The sequence below is a fragment of the Homo sapiens genome, chromosome 7, assembly GCF_000001405.40.
Source record: "Homo sapiens chromosome 7, GRCh38.p14 Primary Assembly".
Taxonomy (NCBI): Eukaryota; Metazoa; Chordata; class Mammalia; order Primates; family Hominidae; genus Homo; species Homo sapiens.
The window spans coordinates 153,888,309-153,912,469 of NC_000007.14; the positions used below are offsets into that span (position 1 = coordinate 153,888,309).

At 42.2% G+C, this 24,161-nt stretch overlaps 1 protein-coding gene across 8 annotated transcripts in view; it reads left to right on the forward strand.

Moving 5' to 3' along the window:
* The window catches only part of DPP6 (dipeptidyl peptidase like 6), a 1,146,153-nt gene that overhangs the window by 140,176 nt on the left and 981,816 nt on the right, over positions 1-24,161 (forward strand). The gene's annotated exons all lie outside the window — the stretch shown is intronic.

Genomic DNA, 24,161 nt, shown 5'->3' on the forward strand with positions numbered 1-24,161 from the left:
TGCCGGAGGAGGTCAGGGGCACTTCGTCCCCCAGGAGGGCCGCGTGCCTGGAAACGCGGCTGGTCCGCGGAAGGCTCCGGGCAGCTGGCCAGGGGACAGTTCTGCACGGATAACTTTCTAAGTGGAGGACCCGGCGATCCGCCTCCCCAGCGAGCCCACCCGCCTCGCCGCTCCCCGCTGACCCGCGCGGCCTGGGCGCGCCTGCTCTCGGGCTCACGTTAGTCCGGGGCACGGGGCCGAGGGGTCAGGGCGCTGGAGTCTCTGGCGAGGACGAGAGAGTTGCCATCTTGTTCTGTTGAAATTGTTTGTGTGCCTTCGTGTGTTTATTTTAACCCATTAGGTCATGGTCTGAGAAGAATCCTCTGACGGTCCCTTATTTTAAGTTGCTGGCTGGCACTTTTTTTTTTTTTTTTTTTTTTTTTGGCGACAGACAAGGAGATGGGGATTGCCTTGCTACTTTTGAAGGTTCTGCAGATTTGCAGATGCTACTTTTGAGGGTTCCGTAAGAATTGAAGAAATTCTTTCAGGGGCAAGGTCCAGAGTTGTTTACAGAAGTGGGTTGGGTCCAAGTGATGGGGGTGCAGAGGCACCTTTGCGGGAACCCAGGCAGTGGTGCATTTTGAGATCTCGCTTTAAGCAAAACAGGCAATAAGTGAAAAATTCTACATTAATTGAACAAATACCCAGCTGGCTTAACCACACCCACGGCAGACACCTGTTGCCTGGCAGAGAGAAGCGCCGTGGGTTCAGAACTTGACTCTGGACGGAGGTGTGAGTCTCTGGGTTCAAGACACCTCGCAGGGAAGTAATCGCCGCATGGAGGGGCTTACTCTTCAGGACCCTCCCCACTCCCGAGACGACAAGCCCCCATCTAGGGGCGGTTCGCAGTCCTCGGTCCGTGGGTTCTCTGACTGACCTAATTGCTTGTTTATGAAAATGCATCTGCTTCCCTCATTTTTCCCACTCTTTTTCTTTTTTAGCCATTGTGTTGTTCAGCATAATTTCTTGCATAAACAGGATAGAAACGTGTATGGAGTAATGCTTTTTCATTAAATGCCCAACCACATCCATCATTCCTAACTTACGTGATGCCATCATGTGCTAGGGAAACCTGTATATTTAGGGCTGAGGCTGAAGTTAAGGATTGAGGTTAATTATACTGATAAGGCAACATTATTGACTCATTACATCAATCTACCGCCAAATAAGTTTCTACTTATAACTTGCATGGCATGAAAGAGCCAAATCTTCATATTACACCTTTATTAGAAACCTTATGGTCTTTGCCCTCCCCCTAACCCCTCTCTGCGTTTTACTTCAGAAAATAAAGAATGAAAGGATTGCTAATTACATTTCTCTCTTCTGCTCTGAATAAGGATATTCCATGTGATACTCATTGCATCCCTTCCCCTGTGTCTAATGTTAAGAAGTGTCATCGGAGCAAGGTGAACCTGAGCCTAGAGAATTCTACAGCAACCCATATTTTCAGAGTTATTTGTGGGCCCAAGAAAACAATGAGATGCACACTTACTCAAACTTTGAATGTTCTTATCAATTCTTGAATTGATAATTATGGCTCCACAGCCTGCTGTGTAACTTATTTGAATTTTCATGTTCCAAGGAAATCCACGTGGCTTCAGTTGAGTGATCATTTAGGACTTACCCATGCCTAATCTCTCAAGTTGCTTTGGAAGACTCTTGCTAATCACAGCCTCTCTTGGATTAGATGACTGGCAAATTCTTTGCACTCACAACTTGATTGAAATTCAGGTGATATTTTACATTCAAGATGAGGACTGAATGATTTACTCCTATTACTGACAGCTGAGCTGCCGCACATCTGACAGCTACAAAAAGTGGCAGAATGTTTTCTACTTTGCAGTAACAGTGAACCCACATACACACAGAGACCAGATCTCAGTTCAGGGGACTCAAAGATCTCTGAGCTGTCTGGACTCGCATTTGAGGTTTGATATTTAAAAAAGAGAAAGACACTTTGCACTGCCCAAATGGTCACGGAAATGTCAAATCCAGTTCAGCCATGCCTGTAAACTGCTTTCTAATCCAGCCCCTGCTCGCTGACATCCACATTGTATGATTGTTCTGGACCTGCAGCCTGTTGTTTCACCGGGAGTTCTACAAGAATGGTGACAATAGCCTCCCGGCTGGTCCTTGCCATGCCACATTGCTTAGTTGAAAGTATGTTCTTATAAAATCTTTAAAAAATGTTTTATTCCTCACATATTGCTTTAGGAATTTATTTCTGAGTACAGCTAGAGGATTAAGAGAAGGCAGATGCACCAGCATACTATCTGATCTTGTTTTGTTTTAGTAAATGGGTAAAAGAAATACCACAGGTGGAATCAGTTTAGAACTTTTTTTTTTTTTTTTTTTTTTTTTTGGAGACAGAGTCTCACTCTGTCACCCAGGCTGGAGTGCAGTGCAGTAGCGCAATCTCAGTTCACTCCTCCCCCAGGGTTCAAGCCATTCTCCTGCCTCAGCCTCTCGAGTAGCTGGGGACTACAGGCGTGCACCACCATGCCTGGCTTTTTTTTTTTTTTGCATTTTTAGTAGAGACGGGGTTTCATCATGTTGGCCAGGCTGGTCTTGAACCCCTGACCTCAGGTAATCTGCCTGTCTCGGCCTCCCAAAGTGCTGGGATTACAGGTGTGAGCCACCATGACTGGCCAGTTTAGAACTTCTATTTTAATTTTTTTTTTTTTTTTTTTTTGAGATGGAGTCTCACTCTGTCACCCAGGCTGGAGTGCAGTGGTGCTATCTCGGCTCACTGCAAGCTCCGCCTCCCGGGTTCATGCCATTCTCCTGCCTCAGCCTCCCCAGTAGCTAGGACTACAGGCGCCCACCACCATGCCCGGCTAATTTTTTTGTATTTTTCGTAGAGACGGGGTTTCGCCATGTTAGCCAGGATGGTCTCGATCTCTTGACCTCATGATCCACCCGCCTCGGCCTCCCAAAGTGCTGGGATTACAGGCGTGAGCCACCTTGCCTGGCCCCTAGAACTTCTATTTTAATTCTTGAGAAGAGTCTATTTCATAAACTTATAATACTGTGAGAATTCACAGACTAACCATGCCATATTCAATCTGTAATTTAATATACTAAGAGATAAATATTTTTTACTTGCTCGAAACAAAAATTATTTTTTTAAAAATAGCTGTTATTTTTTCCATAAAATCTACATTTCAGAGTTCCAAGGGAGGCTGATGTGCACTTTTTCAACCTAATCTTCCTTTATTGCTGTTTGGTTGATATTCTGCTTGTTTAACAGAGGTATATACTCTTGCAATAGGTTCTGAGGTTAATGGGAAATGTCATCAGAAGGGTGTTGCTTCGTGCTGAATTCCCCTACTCTGTCCATATGAGCTTTTTTCAGACATTGAGTTGCTTAATGAAGTTGGAGTAAAGATTAAAGACTAAACATCTTGGGGACTGTCCTGTGACCCTTGGCGTCTCCCCCTTCCTTGGTGTGTGCATTGGTGGCTCCACCAGTATGTGGTGGGTAAGTGAGGGCTGTGCAGGCCCATGGTGACTACAGCAGTATCAGAGGAGGTTCAGACCTAGGACACAAAGCATCAGAGGTCTGCAAGCCATGTTGATCCTTGAGAATCCCACTGTTGATTGTTGTTGGTTTTAAATGAAAGTGGCTGTCTTGAGTTCCCTGTATAGGGAAAGCTGGAGTTCTTCCTTGTGCTCACTGACACTGGTTTTAGGCCTTTGGTCACTGGTTGATGTATCTATGGCATGACGAGCCTAGGATCTTTTCAGAACTATTGTCTTCTCTTTTCTATGTTGGATAAAACATCTGAATGTGAACTTTCCACAGTAAGAGTTCTCTTTCGGGCATTTGACCGTTTTGCTGATTCAGTTAAATAAAGCAGAATGGCATTCCAGCGATGATGCTGTACTTGTAATTAGCCCAGGTGAGCAGAGGCTCGTTGAGGTTTTTAGATAAGTCATGAGAGCTCGTGTGGGACACAAAGCTTCTATTATTTTTTTTTTTCTGAGATGGAGTCTCACTCTGTCTCCCAGGCTGGAATGCAGTGGCACAGTCTCAGCTCACTGCAGCCTTCACCTCCCAGGTTCAAGCAATCCTCTTACCTCAGCCTCCCAAGTAGCTAGGATTACAGGCATGTGCCACCACACCCAGTTAATTTTTGTATTTTTAGTAGAGACGAGGTTTTGCCACGTTGGTCAGGCTGGTCTCAAACTCCTGACGTCAGGTGGTCTGCCCGTCTCGGCCCCCCAAAGTGCTGTGAGCCACCTCTCCCTGCCAAATCTTCTATTATTGAAGTCTGTGGGGACAGCATTTCTAGGAGTGTGGCCTTCAGTAATGCAATATTTTTCCTCTGTCTGAGGGTACTTGGTATCAGATTGGTCACTTGGTAACAAAATGCTTGGTGCTGGTTCTAAATGGGAGCAGTGTAGCACAGATTTTGAGGGAATTTGCCTTCTCAAAATGGGTTCCAAAAATTCTAAGGTCACAGTTTTCTGAGAGTTGTCACCATGTGTCCCAGTGGTGTGATACTTAGGTTGGTCTTTCTCTGCTTGCTAGTTGTTCAACATCCCTTCATAAAATCATCACCCTTATAACTAGACGTTTCTTGAAATATTGATTAATCCCATCTGTGCAGGAAACAGTAGCTAGGCATGGGTCTGTTTCATAATCCTCCTTGCAGGATTTATAGGAATGGGGATACTTTAAACATGTTTATGGCCCATTAAAAAATGCAGATTTCCAGAAAGAAGATCCCAAAGCCAGAGGTGATCAGCACAGGATGTTTTATAAAATTTCTTCAATAAAACTGTAGTGAAGAGGGCTGTGCTGTTTTTTCACAGAGCTCTGTTTAGTTCTTTAGTTCATATATCCACTGGGTCTGAGTTTTTCAACATATAAATGTACTAAATTGGCTCTTCCCTGTTGCACAGCCATCATCTCCTTTTCTGTAACCTGTCCTGGTCAGTAATCACAATACTGCTAACTTGATCATCATTTGGACTTTGAACCCTCTGTGCTATTACCAAGAGGTGTGGTGCTTATTGAAATATGAACATCTAGTATTCATTCGTCCCCATGGACAAGGGCTTTGCACAGGAAGCATTTGAGCGGATGAATTCGTTAAATGAATGGATATTTGTTCCTTGCTTAGGACTGCTTAGCATAGGCTGTGCATTTGTGAGAAAGGCTCATGGTTTTAGTTGAACGTTTAAGAACTCCTTCAAGTCCTAATACATCAGGTAACAGGAGAGAGAATTCCCTGCATAGAGTATTTTCCACTTTCAGCTACAAATGGAAACTTAGGCTCAGTTTAGATTGTAAACAGCTGATGCATCAATCTTCTTTATTTGAGGAGGCGTAGAAGTCAAATAAAATATAGAGAGCAATCTCTCAACTTAAAATGTTTTACTTGGGAAGCAAGAATTGCAATCTGAGGCATACACAGACCAGTGGTCTTCAGTATGTCTGAAGAACAAAGACGAGATTGTGGATTTTATTAGGAAAGGAAATGTTACTTACTGTTTTGGAAGAAAACTCATTGGCCCTGGAGAAGCTTTTGAGAGCTGGCAAGCTCTGATTGGTGAGTTGACTGTGGTAGGTAAAGCTAGAGTCACTGCAGGTTGTTTCAGCAGTTACTAGGTAAAACTGGTCTTAGAGGTACAGCAGGCTGTTTCAGCAGCTGAGCTTGTGGGAAATTTAATTCTTGGAGCAGGTGCTATGTGTCCCCAGTACTTTTTCCCTGGCCCCGCAACTCACACATTGAGTTGCTTAATGAAAATGGAGTAAAGACTACAGACTAAACTTCTTGGGGACTGCCCTGTGACCCTTGGTTTCCAAGGACCACAAGGATTTTATTGGGTATGACAAGAATGACCCAATTTGTATAATCAGCTTTTGCAGAGGTAAATACATTTAGTCCAGATCATTTTAAAATTTTCTGTTTATTAAACTAAAATAAATTCAGCAACATAGAAGAATTCCATGACCTCTTTTGGTTGTGGGAGCCAATTTTATTTGATAGCAAGACCACATTTTAGAACTCAAGAGCGTGCCTCAGATCTTCTAGGTCCCTTGAACATACTAAGCTCAGAACAGACAGGCAGGCAGAACCAAGCAGAATTCCCCCTTTACCATTGTGGCTTCCTGGGATGATGGGAGAAAGGGTTCCATTCGGGAAGTAGAAGTTTCAAAAACCCATCTTGGACAGTGGCTCTTGGCAATGGCTGAACAGTAGAATCAGCTGGAATGTTTTGAAAAACCCAGTCATCTATGGGTGTTGTGGAGTTGGGAATGTTTGGTTAAGTGTAGAGGTTCTCAACATTGCCTGGAGCCACTGGTTCCTCCTGCCCCCGACCTCTTCCCCAGTACCCACCCCTGGCCTAGAGATACCCAGGGGATTCTGATTCCACTGCTTCAAAATGCAGTCTGTGCACTCATATGTTTAATAGTGCTTCTGTTGTGCAGCCAAGATGCAGAACCAGTGGATCAGAGGCAAATTTTTTGAATAAATATTGCCATCAAAGCCTAAGGAAATAATTATAACATTTATAAGGGAGCTTCTTGAAAAATATGCAATCAAGTCTTGTTCCCTGGGTTGTGGAGGCCGCCAAATACATGGAAAGATGGGCAGAGAACACAGAATAAGGAGAAAAATGAAGTGAAACATGCATGAGAGAGAAAAGTAAATAGTCACCAGGGAAAAGATGAGGAAACATGCTGTGTTTTTAAGTTTTCTAACCTCAGTTATAGACTGAATTTGGGGAAAAACAAGAATCTTTAAAGAAATTCAATTGTCCTCCTTTCCTTTTTCTTCACGCCCAGAAAAAATTAATCTTCTTGACTGAAAGATACTCTATTATGTGTCTGAGGTCCCCCCGAAAAGTTATTACAAACCCAACAGGGCAAGTAGAAACAAGGAGGGTGATAGAAGAAAGCTGAAGGCTGCCCTCGACCAGCAGAAGTTGTTCTGGGATTTGCAATGGCCTCTGAGGGGCCTCTGCAGGCAGCTCCCTGGACTGCTGTTTCCTCATGTGTCGAATAAGGAAATTTGAATAGATTGATTATTCTTGAAGTCCCTTTCAACTCCCTCTCCCAGTTAAGGGTAGCCTCATTACTGTCTCCTCAACATTGCTCTTAGGACATGCTTTAGAAGTCACCTTCCATGCCAGAACAAATATTTTGTTGGCATCATGATTTCTTCTGCATTGACTTATGTGGCATCTCTCAGCTCGCCAGTCTTGTCTCAGCAAGCATGCCACTGTATACGGGGAAAACAAATAGATGGCATCAATGTATAGTCCTATTGGACACAAAATCTAGAGCATTCATGCACCAGCCTTGATGACCCAGGAAGACTGTATATGTGTGTGTGTAGCACACCATATACATGCATGTGCATGCGTGCACACACACACACACACACACACACACACACACACAATGTTCATACATCTCAGATGTAAAATACTGGCACCATTGTCCAGCATAGCTGAAGATCTGTTGGATAAGAGCTCCTGTGGGTGCAATCACTTTGACTGCTTGGCTTTCTTGGATATTAAAAAAATAACCACACTGTAATAAAACAGGAGTGCCAAGGATGTTCTGGTTTCCAGTGTGGTGTTACTCGTCTGTGAAAATAAAAGTGAATTGCTGGCTAGCCAGGCCGGCCACAAGGCCTGTTTTGCAAGGCACCAATTGGATGGGATGGGACTGCACTGGGTCTCACTACGAGAGGTCTAAGGCTGAGCACATTTTCTTCACTGATATTGGTATTTGAAAAGTGGGATTTTCTTCTCTTTTTCCCTCTCCTACTGGACTAATGCCCCTATTAAGCCACACATAGTTTTATTTTAAATAATTCTCATTTTATGGTATTGGTCCTATATAAACAACTTTTAGTAAAACCTCCACTGACAGAAACTCAACTACAAACTTGAGCAAACTGGACTAACAGTCTCATACGTTTCATTACATTAATCTAAAAAATGGTACTTCTAGGGTATGTTCTGACTTCATTATACATTCAGCTTAATATTCTATACCTTCTTGTCCTATATTTTTGGGAAGTGAGAATTAATAATTTTCAAGCCTAAAGGCCAAATTTTTTTTTCATTCTTATAAAAATTATTTTGATTGTGGACTACATTTTCTATGATGAGGTAAAAATGAATTAACACATGAACAATTTATCTTTAACAGGCTGGGCACAGTGGCTCACACCTGTAATCTCAGCACTTTGGGAGGCTGAGGTGGGAGGATCACTTGAGGCCAGGAATTTGATACCAGCCTGTGCAACATAGACAGCATCTCTACAAAAAAATTTTTAAAAATAATTATCCAGAAGTTGATATTATATTATGTGGCTGTCATCCTAGCTACTGAGGAGGCTGAGGCAGGAGGATCTTTTGAGCCCATGAGATTGAGGCTGCCGTGGGCCAAGATTGTGCCAATGCACTTCAGCCTGGGTGGCAAAGCAAGACCCCGTTTCTTTAAAAAGTAATACATAAATAAATATACTTATTTATAACAGAAAATCAAAGATTATCTTGTTAAATGGTAGTTTTCTAGAAAATTGCATTTATCAGACCAAATCATATCTTGAGCAAACTTTTTATAAGAGGGTTCTGTTTTGTTATTTTTCTTCCTATGACTCTGTAAATTGTGCATCTATTTTTTTAAGATCTCCACCCTTTCATTTCAAACTTAATTATATTGATAACTTATAGTTGTAGAGAACTTACACAGCTTCCAAAATAATTTTGTCTGTGCTATGTTATTATGTTAGAACAACCCATTGTGTTGGAAAGACAGATATTAGTTCTTTTTTTATGGTTGAAAGAGCTAAGATTTTGAGAGAGTATATAGTGGGGCTGGTTATTTGAGGAGGAGCTGAGGTGCTGACCCATTTCCAGCCCAGGTTCTTTGCACACCACAATGTATTCTTTCAGAAATTATCTTCTTTCCAGTTGCAACTGAAAAGAAACATAGTGCCTGGAAGATGGGGGAGAAAAATAAGAGATCAAGTGGGAGAGTATGTCTTCTGCTCTATCCTCATAGGATTTCTAGCCTCTGCTGGAACACATCCAAGGACTGGAAACTTGTGCCATTGTTGACAAGTTCTGTTTGTTAAAATGGTATTTCTTAAGTTCGGAAGATACATATACATACCTCCATTGAACTTTCACCTACAGTTTTAGCTTGAAGCCTTTTAACTACAAAAATTTTCTTATCCCTACTTCACATGACAACCTTTCAAGTAAGTTCCAACAGTTGCCATGTGACCCCTTCATAGTCTCTTTTCTAGGGAAAATGTCTCTATTTCTTTCAACTTATATATGAAAGTTTGATCAGGGTAACTGTGAATTTAACAACAAGACACCATATTTTTTATTCAATCATTGCCATCGTTATCTGTTTCTTAGCTTCCACAAATTTCTTCCTATTTATTGTTGTTGATTTGATAGTCTTCATACTGTTTTCCACAGTGGCTGTACTAATTTAATTCCCACCAGCAGTGCACAAGTGTTCCCCTTTCTCCACATCCTCACCAATAAATGCTACTTGTTTTTGAGCCATTAGTGAACTGATAGAAAACAGCATTCTGGACCGAAAAAGTAGATTGTCTCCAAAAGCTGTGTGGATAAGGAGCAATGAAAGAAAGATAATACCAAGGCAAATACCTGGAGGATGTGAAGCCAAGAGCATCAGAGGAGAAAAGGAACCATCAAGAGGTTGGTTAGTGGGTACAAACAGACAGATAGAAGGAATAAGTTCTCATGTTCAATAGCACAGTAGGGTGACTGCAATTACTAATAATTTATTGTATATTTCAAAACAGCTAAAAGAGTCTGGGTGCAGTGGCTCACACCTGTAATCTCAGCACTTTGGGAGGTCGAGGTGGGAGAATTACTTGAGTCTAGGAGTTTAAGACCAGCCTGGGCCACACAACAAGACGCCATCTCTAAAAAAAATTTAAAATATGCCAGGCTTGGTGGCATCCACCTGTAGTCCCAGCTACTTGGGAGGCTTAGGTGCAAGGATTGCTTGAGGCCAGGAGTTCAAGGTTAAAGTGAGCTGTGATGGTGCCACGGCACTCCAGCCTGGGTGACAGAGTGAGACCTTGTCTGTAAAAAAATAATAATAATTAGAAGAGAAGATTTGAAATGTTCCCAACGTGAAAAAATGATCACTGTTTGAGGTGATGAATATCCTAAGTAAACATACATCAAAATATCACATGTACCTCATAAATATGTATAATTATTATGTATCAACAAGAAAATGAAAACGAGAATGTTGAAACAGGTGGAAAGATATTCATATAGAGCCTTTGGGAAATGCTAGTCACTGGACATGGGAGGAAAATGGCCGTCTTCAGTTGCGGTATCAGAGGCCTTCCACAATAAGCAGTGTTAATTGGCAAACAGGGGCTATGAGAAACACACAAGTGATGAAAACCAGCCTTATTTCTACTGGAATCTCAGGTCTTACCTGACTTACCACCATCTAAGTTTGCATAGTCACCTCTAAAAGTGTGAGCATCTTTTCTGTGCTTTGCTGGTTTGTATATAACTTTTATTCAGATATCTTTCACTCTAATAAGTAGTTCTTTGCATTCTGATTAGTTGGCTTTATGAAATAAGTCACCATTATTCAAGAAGGGAAAGGCGAGAGACAAAGGCATTCGGCTTCCATTAGTGTTTGGAATTACAGCCACACACAAATTAAGGGTGAATGAAAACAAATGCCCTCCTGTAGCTGCTGCTGGTATTCCTCCCCACCTCCTCTTCACTCTCTCTCCTCCTCCTCCTTTTTCTCCTTCTCTTATTTATCCTCCTCCTCTTCTTCCTTCTCCTCTTCCTCTTCCTTCTCCTCCTCCTCCTCCTCCTTCTCCTCCTCCTCCTTTGATTATCTTAAGCCAGATGTGTATTCTTACCCAGGTTTGTGATATGTCTACCCTTGCCTTTATGTTGGGAAACGTGAGGAAGCTGAGCCCAGCTCCCAGGACAGTTTGGTCGCCTCTAATCATACCATCCAGCCATAATCTCAGGCTGAAGGAAATCATTCATTGGCACTAAAGAGAGCTGGGGAGATAGCTGACAGAGGAATGCAATGGATCGTCTCGCTCATCCACCTTTTGCCATTTGTTTGATTTTTTCCTGCAATGTGTTTTCTTCTCGTCAACTTGGCCGGAATGGTGGTAAATGCTGTTTTTATATGTGGACTTACTTGAAAAACTGATCTATCTTAGTCTTGGACTTTGAATATCATTAAAGTTCTCCAAGGACCTTGCAAATAGCTGCTTGCCAAACACAATAGTTTAATATAATTTGATCTCTCACTGCTGCTTAGCTTCTGAGAAATGTGTTGTGCTCAAAGTGTTCAAGCATTAATTAAAATTGAGAGCACTGAAATTGTCAGCGCCCACTGACTCCATGTGAGTGTGTAGGTGAGTGTGAATGTGTGTGCACAGGCAGGTGCAGGTGTGTACTCACATGCGTATTAACGCTTAGGAAGCTGAACTTTGCTTCTTTCTCATTAAGAGTTGAAGGCTATTATCTAATCATGAAAATAAAAACTCTGATGGAATTAACTTGATGTTGACTCTCAGTTTGATTTCTGAAGATAAACCAGAGTCATCTCTACTCTGAAATATTAACGTATTCTAGAGAGTGGTTCCCAACATGATGTGACGCTGGACCTGCGTTATCAGCATCAGCTGGGAGCTTTAGAAGAACAAAATCTTGAGCCCACCCAGACCTACTGAATCAGAAGCTCAGAGGGTGGGTGATTCTGATCTGCATTAAAATTTAGTTCTAAGTGTACCCATTCGCAAACTCTTTGTGGTGAAGTGCCAGTGATTTCATTTTTGTTTTTAAAATTTCGTGGCTCAGTACTTTCTCCCATCTTTCTGTTTTTTTTTTTTTTCTGAGCCCTACAAACTTTTTCAACCTCTGCCCTAAAGCTGCTTTCAGATTTTCAGGTATCTTTGTAGCAATGCCCCATTCCTTGGTATGTGTTGCTATAAAGGCATACCTGAGGCTGGGTAATCTTTAAGGAAAAGAGGTTTATTTTGCTCACGGTTCTGCAAGCTGTACAAGAAGCACAGGCACCAGCATCTGCTTCTGGTGAAGTCCTCAAGCTGTTTCCACTCATGGCAGAAGGTGGAGGGGAGCCAGTGTGTAGAAATCACATGGCCATAGAGGGAACAAGAGAGAGAGGAAGGAGGTGCCAAGCTCTTTTTAACAATCAGTTACCCAGGGAATGAGTAACGGGATGACTAACTCATTATCTCGAGGGTAACACCAAGCCATTCATGAGGCGTCTGCCTCCATGACCCAAATACCTCTCAGTAGATTCCACCTCCACCTCCAACCTTGGGGATCAAATTTGAACATGAGGTTTGGGGGGTGGATAAACATCCAAACTATAGCAGCACCCAAAAGCTGAAAGTGCCATGTCTTATTTTTTATTTTCAGCCTTATCCGTAGCACGCTTTATGGTAGCAAAGAGGTCTACAAGCTGTGGCCCCAAAATAATTTAACTTTCTTACTGTAACCTTTCCATTTTAAATTTGATTCACTGTAGAGCATTTCCATGGGTAGAACTGGGTCAAAGAGAAGTCTTTCATTTTAGAGTTTTGTTATTAAGGAAGAATTGGGTATTTTCATACTTTTTAAAGTTTATTTTTGGCTATGATTACTTACAGTGGTTCATTTTTTATAGACATCTAGGAAATGTTAATTACTGCAGATAAGATTCCCAATTCAGAAGCCAACCACAAAGGCTTTTCTTCTTCTTCTTCTATATATATATAAAGGAGATAATGCTAAAATGCTCTTATGCAAATTTTAAAATTCCCTAGTACATTAACAATGCTAATGACAGTTAATGCATTCCTGAAGCTTCTGTGTGATCCAAAATATTCAAAATGCTTAGAAATGTTTTAGGTCCACCCTGCAAATATATGGGAAGTGGAATTTTGTTCATGGAAATTAGTTCCTTGAAAATAGATTCAGTGCCAAGTTTAAGAGATGAAGAAGAGCTGAAAAGTCAGTGTAGTGCAATATAGAGTCTTCTGCGGATAAAGGTCGAAACCCTCTTTTCCCAGACCACCATAGTGGGTAGGTACAGAATCTCAGATAATCACTGCAGTTTGGTTAGAAGAGGAAATTGCCCTTCATAAAGCAACACAGAAGAAGGTAAGGAGAAAGTGGTATTAGATTGATAGGTCAACTAATGATAATGAAGAAACTTTCTCTTGCTGACGGTGATGTCAGCTTCTACCAGGACTAACTTCAGTGAGCACAGGAATGGCATTGCTGTTCAATAGGGTTATACCCTCAGGTGGGATGACAGAAGACAGACCCTCGTTGTTTCTTTGCTGACCTAGGGAATTCTGCAAAGCAGAAATATGAAGAATGAAGATGCTGACTCTTTACAGACAGCTTTATTTAGGTGAATTCAGGTTGTTACATGGTCTTGCCACAAGTGCATCTTATTCTAGAAGTTGTCTGACTACTTCAACATGCATTTCTTTCCTTCTTTCTTCCTTGAGCTCCTTAATATTAAATGCAAATGAGGGGAGGCGTGTTGAAGTTACACTAAGGTTTAGTTGTAGCAAAAATGTGCTTTGTGCACCTACTGGAAATTCCCTTGTGGAATCTTTATAGTAAAGCCTATTGGGGAAATATAATTGAAAACAAAATCTTCTTCCAACCTAGAAATCCTCTCCACAAAGGTAGTAGAGAAAGAGAACACTTTTCTTATTTGAATAAGCATTAAACCAGAATGGTGATGCACATCACAGACAAGATGCTAAAAGATCACAAAGACAGAATTCTCTTATATAGCCAGGCAGATGCAACCCATTAAATACATGTTTTCAAGATAAACAGTAGCTCACCCTGAAGTAAGAGGATTTGACAGCATCATTTGTCAAATAGTTCATCCTAACTTTACTAGCTGCTTACTGGCTTTATTTAGAGGGGGGAAAAGCCTCTCATATCTTCATGATAGAAGGTAGTTTTGCATATTAGAGCAAAGTGTCCACCGATGTTAGGCTCCAGAAACTGGGAGACAGGGGTTCTGTCTCCCTTGATGTTTGCATTTTAAAAAGATGGTTCCAGATCTTTGGGAACAAGATCCCCGGGTCATAAAGCTAACAAAAGCCCTCCCTATCTAGTCTTCACAAGGATGCACTTCCAAGAGATGAAAAAGTGCTTATAGGCCGGGCGTGGTGGCTCACACCTGTAATCCCAGCACTTTGGGAGGCTGAGGCGGGTGGATCACCTGAGGTCAGGAGTTCGAGACCAGCCTGGCCAACATGGTGAAACCCTGTCTCTACTAAAAATACAAAAAATTAGCTGGGTGTGGTGGCAGGTGCCTGTAATCCCAGCTGTTTGGGAGGTTGAGGCAGGAGTATCGCTTGAACCTGGGAAGGGGAGGTTGCAGTGAGCCGAGCTTACACCATTGCACTCCAGCCTGGGTAACAAGAGTGAAACCCCGTCAAAAAAAAAAGTGCTTATAATTACAAGTTTTCTTAGGTAAAGCTCTAAGAAAAAGGAGAAGAAAACACTTTCCTCCTGATTTTCAACAGGAAGAAGTAAGTGTCTTATTTCTAGCTTGTATTAGTCCTTACAAGCCAGAGCATTCAAATGAGTAACCGCTACAATAGCCAGCAAAGCTACAGACACCCAGTAAGAGGAACTGGAGCCTGTCCCAGGCTTGCAGATGCTGAGTGCTCGAGATGTTGACACAATTTAGCCAAAATTGAGGATCAGGAGACTGCCAAGGACACCGGTGCTTGATGGAACTATTCCCTCTTCCAAGAATTTAAGAGCAAGAAAAAAACTCAGCCATATACTTGGAGCAGTGGCTTTCATATTCAGGACTAGGAGCATTTGGGTTCTGCAGGATGTGGGATGGAGGCATGGCTAAGGAGCAGCCATAGGGGTGATCGGAGTGGCCACAGGGGTGATCAGGCCTGAAAAGCCTGCCACTCAGAAGCCTTTCTTCCAAGAGTTGTTTATTCACTGCTTAGCAATGAGATCAGCACTTTGCCTGCTGCATCTCACAAAGCCCTCTGACAACCCTGGATGAAGGTACTAATATCTTTAGTTTTCAAATGAGGCTCAAAGAAGTTCAATGAGAAAACTGCCCAGGGTCACCTAGGTAGTAGGTAGAAAATTAGTATCCCACTTAGATGTGTGTCACTGTGTCATCTGAAGAGAAGAGATTAAGCATTGGGCTTGCTAGACAACAAGGATACTCTTCAACATATAAACAATCTTATTCAATAAAATCTTATTAATGCCCTGTTGACTGAGGTTGCATTAAGAGCATGTGGAAGCTTATCCGATGTTTCCATTCTCTGGTCTCTACTTGTGACTTTGCTTTTTATTTTCTCTTCTGTGCTGGAAGTGCTGGAAAGCACCTCATCTTTTGTCTTTTCAGTTGTTGGATTTAGGTTCCATGATTAAGGGTTGTGTTGCTATTGTTTTCAGTACTTTGTTCTCTTTCTGTATCCCAGGAAGTCAGCAACTGGGCCCTGTCTCCTACAGAAGCAGGAAGAGGACTGAGGGTTGAGGGACTTTTGGTGGTTTTCTAAAACTGTCAATCATCCTATGTGTGACAAGCAGAGAGTTTCCTGTATCTCTGTTGCCTAAGCAAAGGAGCAGGTGGGAAAGTATTTTGCTAACTAGCGATCTAAGATGAGGTTTTTGTTGTTGTTGTTGTCATTTTTGAGATGGACTCTCACTGTGTTGCCTAAGCTGGACGGCAGTGGCATGATCTTGACTCACTGCAGCTTCCACCTCCCAAGCTCAAGCAATTCTCCTGCCTCAGCCTCCCAAGTAGCTGGGACTACAGGCACGCACCACTATGCCTGGCTAATTTTTGTATTCTTAGTAAAGACGGGGTTTCACTGTGTTGGCCAGGCTGGTCTCGAACTCCTGAGCTCAAGTGATATGCCCGCCTCAGCCTCCCAAAATGCTGGGATTACAGGCGTGAGTCACCACACCTGGCCAGTTATTCTTTGATTCTCCTGCACCATCTTTCAATTTTTTACACTTGGGGCATTTTCCCTGTTCTCAGCACCCTCATCAGTGTGGACCAGGACAACGGGAGAGGGTAAACCTGAATTCCTCCAACTCTAATGACTTTATTAAAAGGCTTGAGGGGGAGGGCAGAAAGGGTATAGTGGTAACAGTGAGCACTTTGAATCTCACTTACCCTAATCATTTCTTGAATGATTGAAGGAGTAATGGGACCCTCCTTATTCCTTACTCCTAAATTCTCACTATTGATTGAACGTCTCATACGCAGGCACTGAGACACCTCAGTGAATAAAATATAGTCCTCGCCTTCCTTCTTGGGGCTTCCATTCTAGTGGCAGAAATAGACAGTGATTACACAGCTAATTATTTAATTACAAGTCTGATGCATTCTGCAAAAACATTGTAAGGGCCAAGGGAAAGCTTCTCCTTTGCCTTCTGAAGGTTCACTGAAAATCAACTGATGAAAGACAGGTGAACAGGAGAAGAGGCTTACAAATTTGATCACAGTTTTACACAGGAGCTTTCGGAATGAAGACGCAAAGATAGACAGGAAGCTGTCCATTTTTATGCTTAGGTTCAACAAACTGTGGACAGCTGTGTGGAAATAGGATTGGCACAAAGGGTCTGATCTAATGCCAATACAGTGAGGGGGAAAGCCCAGTAAGATCTGCCCATCTAGATTCTTCTTGGCCTCTCTGCAGAATTCCTTCCTTCTGGGCATGGGGCAGCACCCTCTCTGTAATGGGAGGTCTTATGACCCACAGTCGAACAAGGCAGGTCAGGTGATTTCGTTATGGTCAGTTTTTACACAGAAAGGTGGGGAAAGTTGGAGTAGTAGTTTTAGGTTTTATGGCTGGCTTTTGGGAACAGAGGATCTGGTTCGTATGATTATGTTGGGAGAGAGGATCCTAGTTTCTCTGGCCAGCCTCGGGAGAAAATGAGGGGCCAGAAACAGAAGAGCAGGAGGGGGAGTGGGGAGAAATGTTTGCTTCTGAGGCCTTCATTTTGGGTTATCATTTTCTGGGCCTCAGCAAAAGCAGATTGAGATTATTATTATATTAACATAAGCATTGTGGTCTAGGTTTGGATGTTTCTACAAGGTGTTTCGAAGCGAATGACTCAGTGAAAGATACAATGGGTGAGAAAGATGGTTCTCTCACATTGTCAATCCAAGGCAGAATAAAAAAGTCATAATTAAAAATATTTCTTAAAGGGGATAAAATGAGTATGTATTGGCAATTTGCTACTACAGTGAGGTGTTTAAAAAGAGAAAAAAAATTAAATGAAATGTAAAATGAAACCTGGGTATCTATAACTTGTGAAGGCTGAGGAATAGAAGATACTTCACTGAGAAAAGGCAGAGGACTCCCTTGACTAGGTGTAAGGATGTGCTCTTGAGATGCTGGGAACAAGGAAGTCCGTGGGAGCAATGGGGAGGACCAACACACGAGCAGCATCTGCTTTGAAAAGTGGAGACTGAATTGCGGTTTGATCCTGGGAGCAAACACCAAAGAACTTAGAGCTAATAATAGCGAAGCCATAGGAAGAGCAGCAACAGAGAAGCTTGGGTGGAAGGACTTCGAATACATAAAAGTTGGAACAAAATAAACCAAGGAGACAAACGGAAGTGTTACACAGGTATTTTTCTTTATAAGAGAAATATATTTTAAGAGCACTAAAGGGCCTTTGAGCTCAGCTTTTATGAAGAAATCTGTTTCAAGATAGAAGAGATATATTGTAGGTTTCTGTTAAATTAATGGCAAATACCACTAGCTAAGACAAAGCTAGTGCTTAAGAGCTAAGCATTCTTTATTTTAATTAGTTTATTCTTATGGATTTAGGGGTACAAGTGCAGTTGTGTTACGCGGATATAGTGTGTGGTGGTGAAGTCTGGGCTTTTTGTGTGCTCATCGCTCATAGACTGTACATTGTACCCACTGGGTAGTATGTGACACCCCACACTCCTCCCACCCTCCAATCTTTGGAATCTACAGTGTCTATTATTGCACTCTATACGTTGCTGTGTATCCATTGTTTAACTCCCAGTTATAAGTGAGGATGTGTGGCTTTTAAGTTTTTAATTTCTGAGTTAGGGTCTCACTCTGTCTCCCAGGCTGGGGTGCACTTGCATGATCTTGGCTCGCTGCAGCCTCGGCCTCCCAGGCTCAGGTAATCCTCCCACCTCAGCCTCCTGAGTAGCTGGGACCACAGGCACATCTTACCATGTCTAGTTAATTTTTGTATTTTTTTGTAGAGACAGGGTTTCTCCATGTTGCCCAGGCTGGTCTCAAACTCTCAGACTCAAGCAATCCACCCGCTTCAGGCAGCTAGGGTGTGAGGATTACAGGCGTGAGCCATTGCTCCCAACCCCAGTTTTTAACTTTTTGTTGTCGAGCAATTTCACTAAGGATAATAGCCTCCATTTCTACCCCTCCTGGAAAAGACAAGTTTTCATTCTTTCATATGGCCGAGTAGTATTCCATCGTGTATACGTACCACATTTTAAAAATCCAGTCATCCATTAATAGACGCTTAGATTGCTTCTGTGACTTTGCTGTTGTGAATAGTGCTGCAATAAACATGTAAGTCAGATGTCTTTTTGATAAAATAAGTTATTTTCCTTTGCATAGATACCCAGTAGTGTTATTGGTAGATCAAAGTGTAGTTCCATTTTTAGTTCTTTGAGAAATTTCCATACTGTTTCCCATAGAGGTTGTATTAATTTACATTTCTACCAATAGTATATAACCATTCCCTTTTCTCTGCATCCTTGCCAACATCTGTTGTTTTTTTGACTTTCAAATAATGGCTTTCTGAGTGCTGTAAGATGGTATCTCATTGTGGCTTTAATTTGCACTTCTCTGATGATGAGTGATGATGAGCATTTTTTCCTGTGTTTGTTGGCCAAGAGCTAAGCATTCTGATGGCTTCGTGTGGATCAAATCACAGCTGGATTGTTCAGTTTTGGATGCCAAATATAAAGAGGGACAGACAAACTGGCATTCATCCAGAAGAGAGGAATCAGGATCACGAGAGATTAGAAGTTGTATTGGTAAAGGGAATTTGAATAAATGATATTATCTAATCTAGGTGTGATAGCTAAATTTATGTGTCCACTTGGCTGGGCTGCAGTGCCCAGGTACGTTGTGAGACATCATTCTGGATATTTCCATGAGGGTGTTTTGGATGAGATGAACATTTAAATCAGTGGACTTTGAGTAAAGCAGATTGCCTTCCCTGGTGCAGTGGGCCTTGTCCAATCAGTTGGAGGTCTGGATAGAACAAGAGGCTGACCTCCCCAGAGTAATGGGGAATTCTGCAGCAAATGGCCTCTGGACTTGAACTGCAGCATTGACTTTTCTCTGGGTTTCCAGCCTGCTGGTCTGTCCACATTTTGGACTTGCCAGCTCCTATAATCACATGAGCTCATTCCTTAGTATAAATCTTTCTATATACGTATGTGTACGTCCTATTCCTTCTGTTTCTCCTGGGAACGCTGACTGATACACTAGGAAAGCAGAGATGTGGGATGGAGGCATGGTAAGTGTTTTTAGATATCTGGAGGGCTTTTATGGAAATAGACACAGATTTGTTTTCTATGAATTTGAGAGACCCAGATCCCTGGATTGAAATTTAGAGGCTGGAAGTTTTTTTTTTTTTTTTTTTTGCTTAATTGAAAGAAGACAACAAGAATTGATACATTGATACAATTCTTTTTTAGCTGATTGTGAGTCAGCAAAATTCAAAACATTGAGTTCTTTATAGCTTCCGTGCATCACCACTTGTGCAAGGTACTGTAGAATGGATTCAATGTGCCTGTTGGGAATTAGAATTATAAAGAATTTTGGAAGTTTCTAGTCTGTCATTGTTTCTGGTAATGCATGCTGTGAAGGGCTAAGAAATGTGTTCATCCCACAGAGGATGAAACAACAGACTTGGTCAAAAAAGTATAGTTATGGTCCTTTTAAATGGAAAAATTCAGACCACAGCTGGATAGGAACAAAATCCTGAAAACAGTGACAGATTCAGTGTCTGGTTATTTTAATACTACTCATGTGTAGACATGGATAGAAAAATGCAGATAGTAGAGTACCAAAAAATACCTATTGGAAGTATAAAAAGAATGGTAATTAAATGATTTCTATAGGCACACAGTCTGATAAGAGAGAGACCTCATTTTATGTAGCTCTTTTACTGAAAATGTGGCATTTATTTTTCTGTATTAATTCAATGTATTTCAAATGAACTAAAAACCTGCCATCTTCAAGGATTTCATTATACGATTCCTTATGAACACTGTCATAAAATGAGTAGTTAACTCATTTAATTTTTTGTGAATGAAAATATGAATGGTCACATGTTGAATTTATTTTTATTTTTTTACTTTTTTGAGACAGAGTCTTGCTCTGTCGCCCAGGCTGGAGTCAGTGGTGCAATCTTGGCTCACTGCAACCTCCGCCTCCCAGATTCAAGCGATTCTCCTGCCTCAGCCTCCTGAGTACCTGGGACTACAGGCACGTGCCACCATGCCGGGCTAATTTTTGTATTTTTAGTAGAGATGGGGTTTCACTATATTGGCCAGGCCGGTCTCGAACTCCTAACCTCATGATCTGCCCGCCTCAGCCTTCCAAAGTGCTGGGATTACAGGCATGAGCCACTGTGCTCAGCCCTAAATTTACTTTAAAAGGGTTATACATGTGTTGGTAAATAGCATCAAGAAATACATTCCTTCTATGTTATCGTTATTTTAATTCTTTATTTTTGTCCCCAAAAGATTTACTTACAGATCTTGGATGATCTTGGGTCTTGAATGGGCATGCTGAGGTTCTACCTCTGGGCAGGAAGATAGGTGTGAAGCAACCTCTAACAGCTTGTGCGGAAAATTACCCCCAGGTTAGCACCAGTGAGGCACAGTTGTTCAGCAGAGCAGGGGCTGGGCATTGTTGTAGAGCAGAGCCACGCCCTTCCATTCCAGAGCACTTGGAGCAGTTGGTGTTTATGCTGCTGGGTTGTTTTTATTGAGGACAAACATGCTTTTACATTTATCTATCTTAAAAAAAACTTAAAAACTCACAAGACAACTTCCCTGATATGCCCTGTCCCCCTCCAGCTACCAGTCTTTCCCTTGAATAACTCAATACTATAATGCCACTATTTTTAACTCCTCCTCATTTCCTCTTAAAAATCTCCCATCTGACTTTGGTTCTTACCACTGCATGGAAGAATTACCTGTCCACATCGCAAACGACCTCCTTCCCACTATATTCAGTGGTCAGTTCCCACTTAAGTCTCTGAAGGAGCTCAGGAAATGACACCCCAAAATACACCGCTTTGGACTTCAAACTTCCCCAGTCACTTGGTGAACAGCAAATTCTGAGAGGAGCTTTCTGAGTACCTTTTACCTACCAGACGGATCCTCCAGAGGGGACACAATTGTCATGAATCCCCTCCCTAGAACTTCATCAACCAGGGACTGCTGGCTGATATCACAGGAGAGGATATTGGAGCTGACACTGCACCCAGACAGGTTTTGTCTCAGGCTGTCTTCTGTCCTGCTAAGGGGCCATTCACCCGCCCTAGAAATCATTTACTCTCCCCTAAGTTGCCTACATCCACCCTCTCTCTCCTATGGAGAGGGTATATAAGCTTTCGGATGTCTCTGGGTTTCGAGTATTCATTTTTCTTTCATGTGATGCTCCGTGAATGTAATACACATGTATACTTTTTCTCTTGTTAATCTGTCTTAAGTCAATTTAATTTGTAGCCCAGCCAAGGAACTTCCAAGAGTGGAAGGAGGCCATTTTCACCCTTCCAGGGCCTGGCAGCACTTTTTTGACCACTTTCTTTCTTTCTTTTTTTTTTTTTGAGATGGAGTCTCGCTCTGTCACACAGGCTGGAGTGCAGTGGTGCAATCTCGGCTCACTGCAACCTCTGCCTCCTGCGTTCAAGCACTTCTCCTGCCTCAGACCCCTGAGTAGCTGGGACTATAGGCACGAGCCCACACCCAGATAATTTTGACCACTTTCTTTATTGAGCTTCCAGGTCACCCTTCCCTCCATCTCAGGGGCTGCTTATTTCCTTTTCCTGGCTGCCTCTCCAGCCCAGGGCTCAAGCATCATTCTTCTGCCTTTTCCTAGATGGCCTCATTCATCTACATAGCTTTAAGCAGAATCTGTGTTCTGAAGACTTCTAAATTTGCATGTCAGCCTCTGAGCTTTAGGCTTTTACACCAAATTTCCCCCAGACTTCACCTCTCACGTGCCTAATGGGTCATAAAAACCAGCAGAGCCAAAACAGAACTGGATTTACCTCTTCCACCCCTTTCTCCCTGGGCTTCCTGACCTTGGTGCACAGAACCATTGTTCATCCTAATATTCAGGCTCTGAAGCTTGCAGCGACCTTTGGTTTCGTTCTCACTTCATAGCTCACAGCCAATCCCCACATCAACAAGCAGCTCGGGTTTCAGATGCATCACATCTGACCACGTCTCCCCTCCCTCAGGGGTCCCAGTTCAGTCAGTGCCATCATCCTCTCCTACCTGGACTGCAAGTGGACTCTTACTTGGCTTCCCTGCTTCCACTTTGGGTCAGAGACACATCATGTGTCCTCAGAGACAAATTATGAGTCCAGAGTGATCGTTTTAGACACGGGTCAGATTACTTCACTCACTAGCTCTGCACTCTGCTAGGATAAAACCATATTTCTTACTGAGACACTGGCTGGCTGATGTAGAGGCCTCCAGCCTGACCCCTAGCCTTGCTGGGGTCTCAGGGGCACATTGAGTCTTATTGAGTCCCAGCTCCTTTGCACCTGCTTCTCCTTCCCTGAAACCGTCTTCACCCAGATGTTGGCTTGCTCTTTGCAGAGTGCTCTTCCTGTAGACCTTCATGCTCAAATCGTTGTCCACACTCTGTGCCCCTTCCCCAGTATCATGATCCCTGCTCAGTCACTCGCTGTCCACACCCTTTCCTTTCACTGAGATCATAGTGTATGTTTATTGGTTGGCATGACTATTATCTGTCTCCACAGCTAGGATGTAGGCTTCACTCTCAGGGATCTTGTCTTGTCTTGTTCACTTTTTGTATCCCTAGTAGATGCTCTCCCAAATTTAGATGGAATGAATTAATGTGGGGGAGGAGTTGTTCAGAATGTGATTTAATACATAAAAAACTTTTGGCTCCCCACTCCCTTCCTCTCTCAGTTTGCAATGGAAAGTGATTGCAAAGTAAAGATAGTACAGATTGGTAATTTGGTAATCACTGTGTCAGTGTGGCTCACAGTGGCAACATTATCACATGCAGATTAATAAATTGAGGTCAACAGAAACTGCTTCTGCATGCAGAGAATATAGGAGGACAGAGAGGACAGAGATACATATAGTGTTATATTACTATCACCAATTCAGTTACAATGCTGTTAGGTTTTGTCACCTATTTTTAAATAATTGTCCTGTTACATCTTTTTCTTTTTGCGGAAGGCACCAGTTTAGCATAGTTTGTGCAATGGCTGTCCATTAAAATCTTAGTAAGGTGATAATCCAAATCAGATGCTGTATAGCCTATGCTGGTTTAAGTCCTGAAGTACTTATCTGAAAACTTCGGGTTAAATTAGGAATTCAGAACTTTTCAGAATTCAAGAAGCTAACACAAATTGTCTTTATTATGTATTAGGTAACATCCCCAGTGGTGTCTGAGGCACCATCCCACAAACCCATTGTAATTTCTGCCAAAAAAAAATATGTACACTAAGTAGAATCAATAAATTTACCAGTGGCTTCATATCAGTTCCTGTAATTTTTGCCACTGAAGAAGTTCAGAGAAGAAAAGATTTTGTCTCCAAATGAGTTTTTAAGGAGCTTTATTGGATGAAATTACTGAAACATTGAAACATATACACACTCAAATAAAACGAACTGGAACCGTCGCAAAGGATGCAGAGGAGGTGGCCTGACATCAGCTGAGAGGGGAGGTCAGAGAGAACCCAGGGAGCGAGAGCTTCATGAAAGAGATGCAGCTGGAGTTGCACTTTAGTTGAAGGACTCCTCTGCAAAAAGCTGAATCCTCCCCAGCCTGGATCCAAATTCTCTT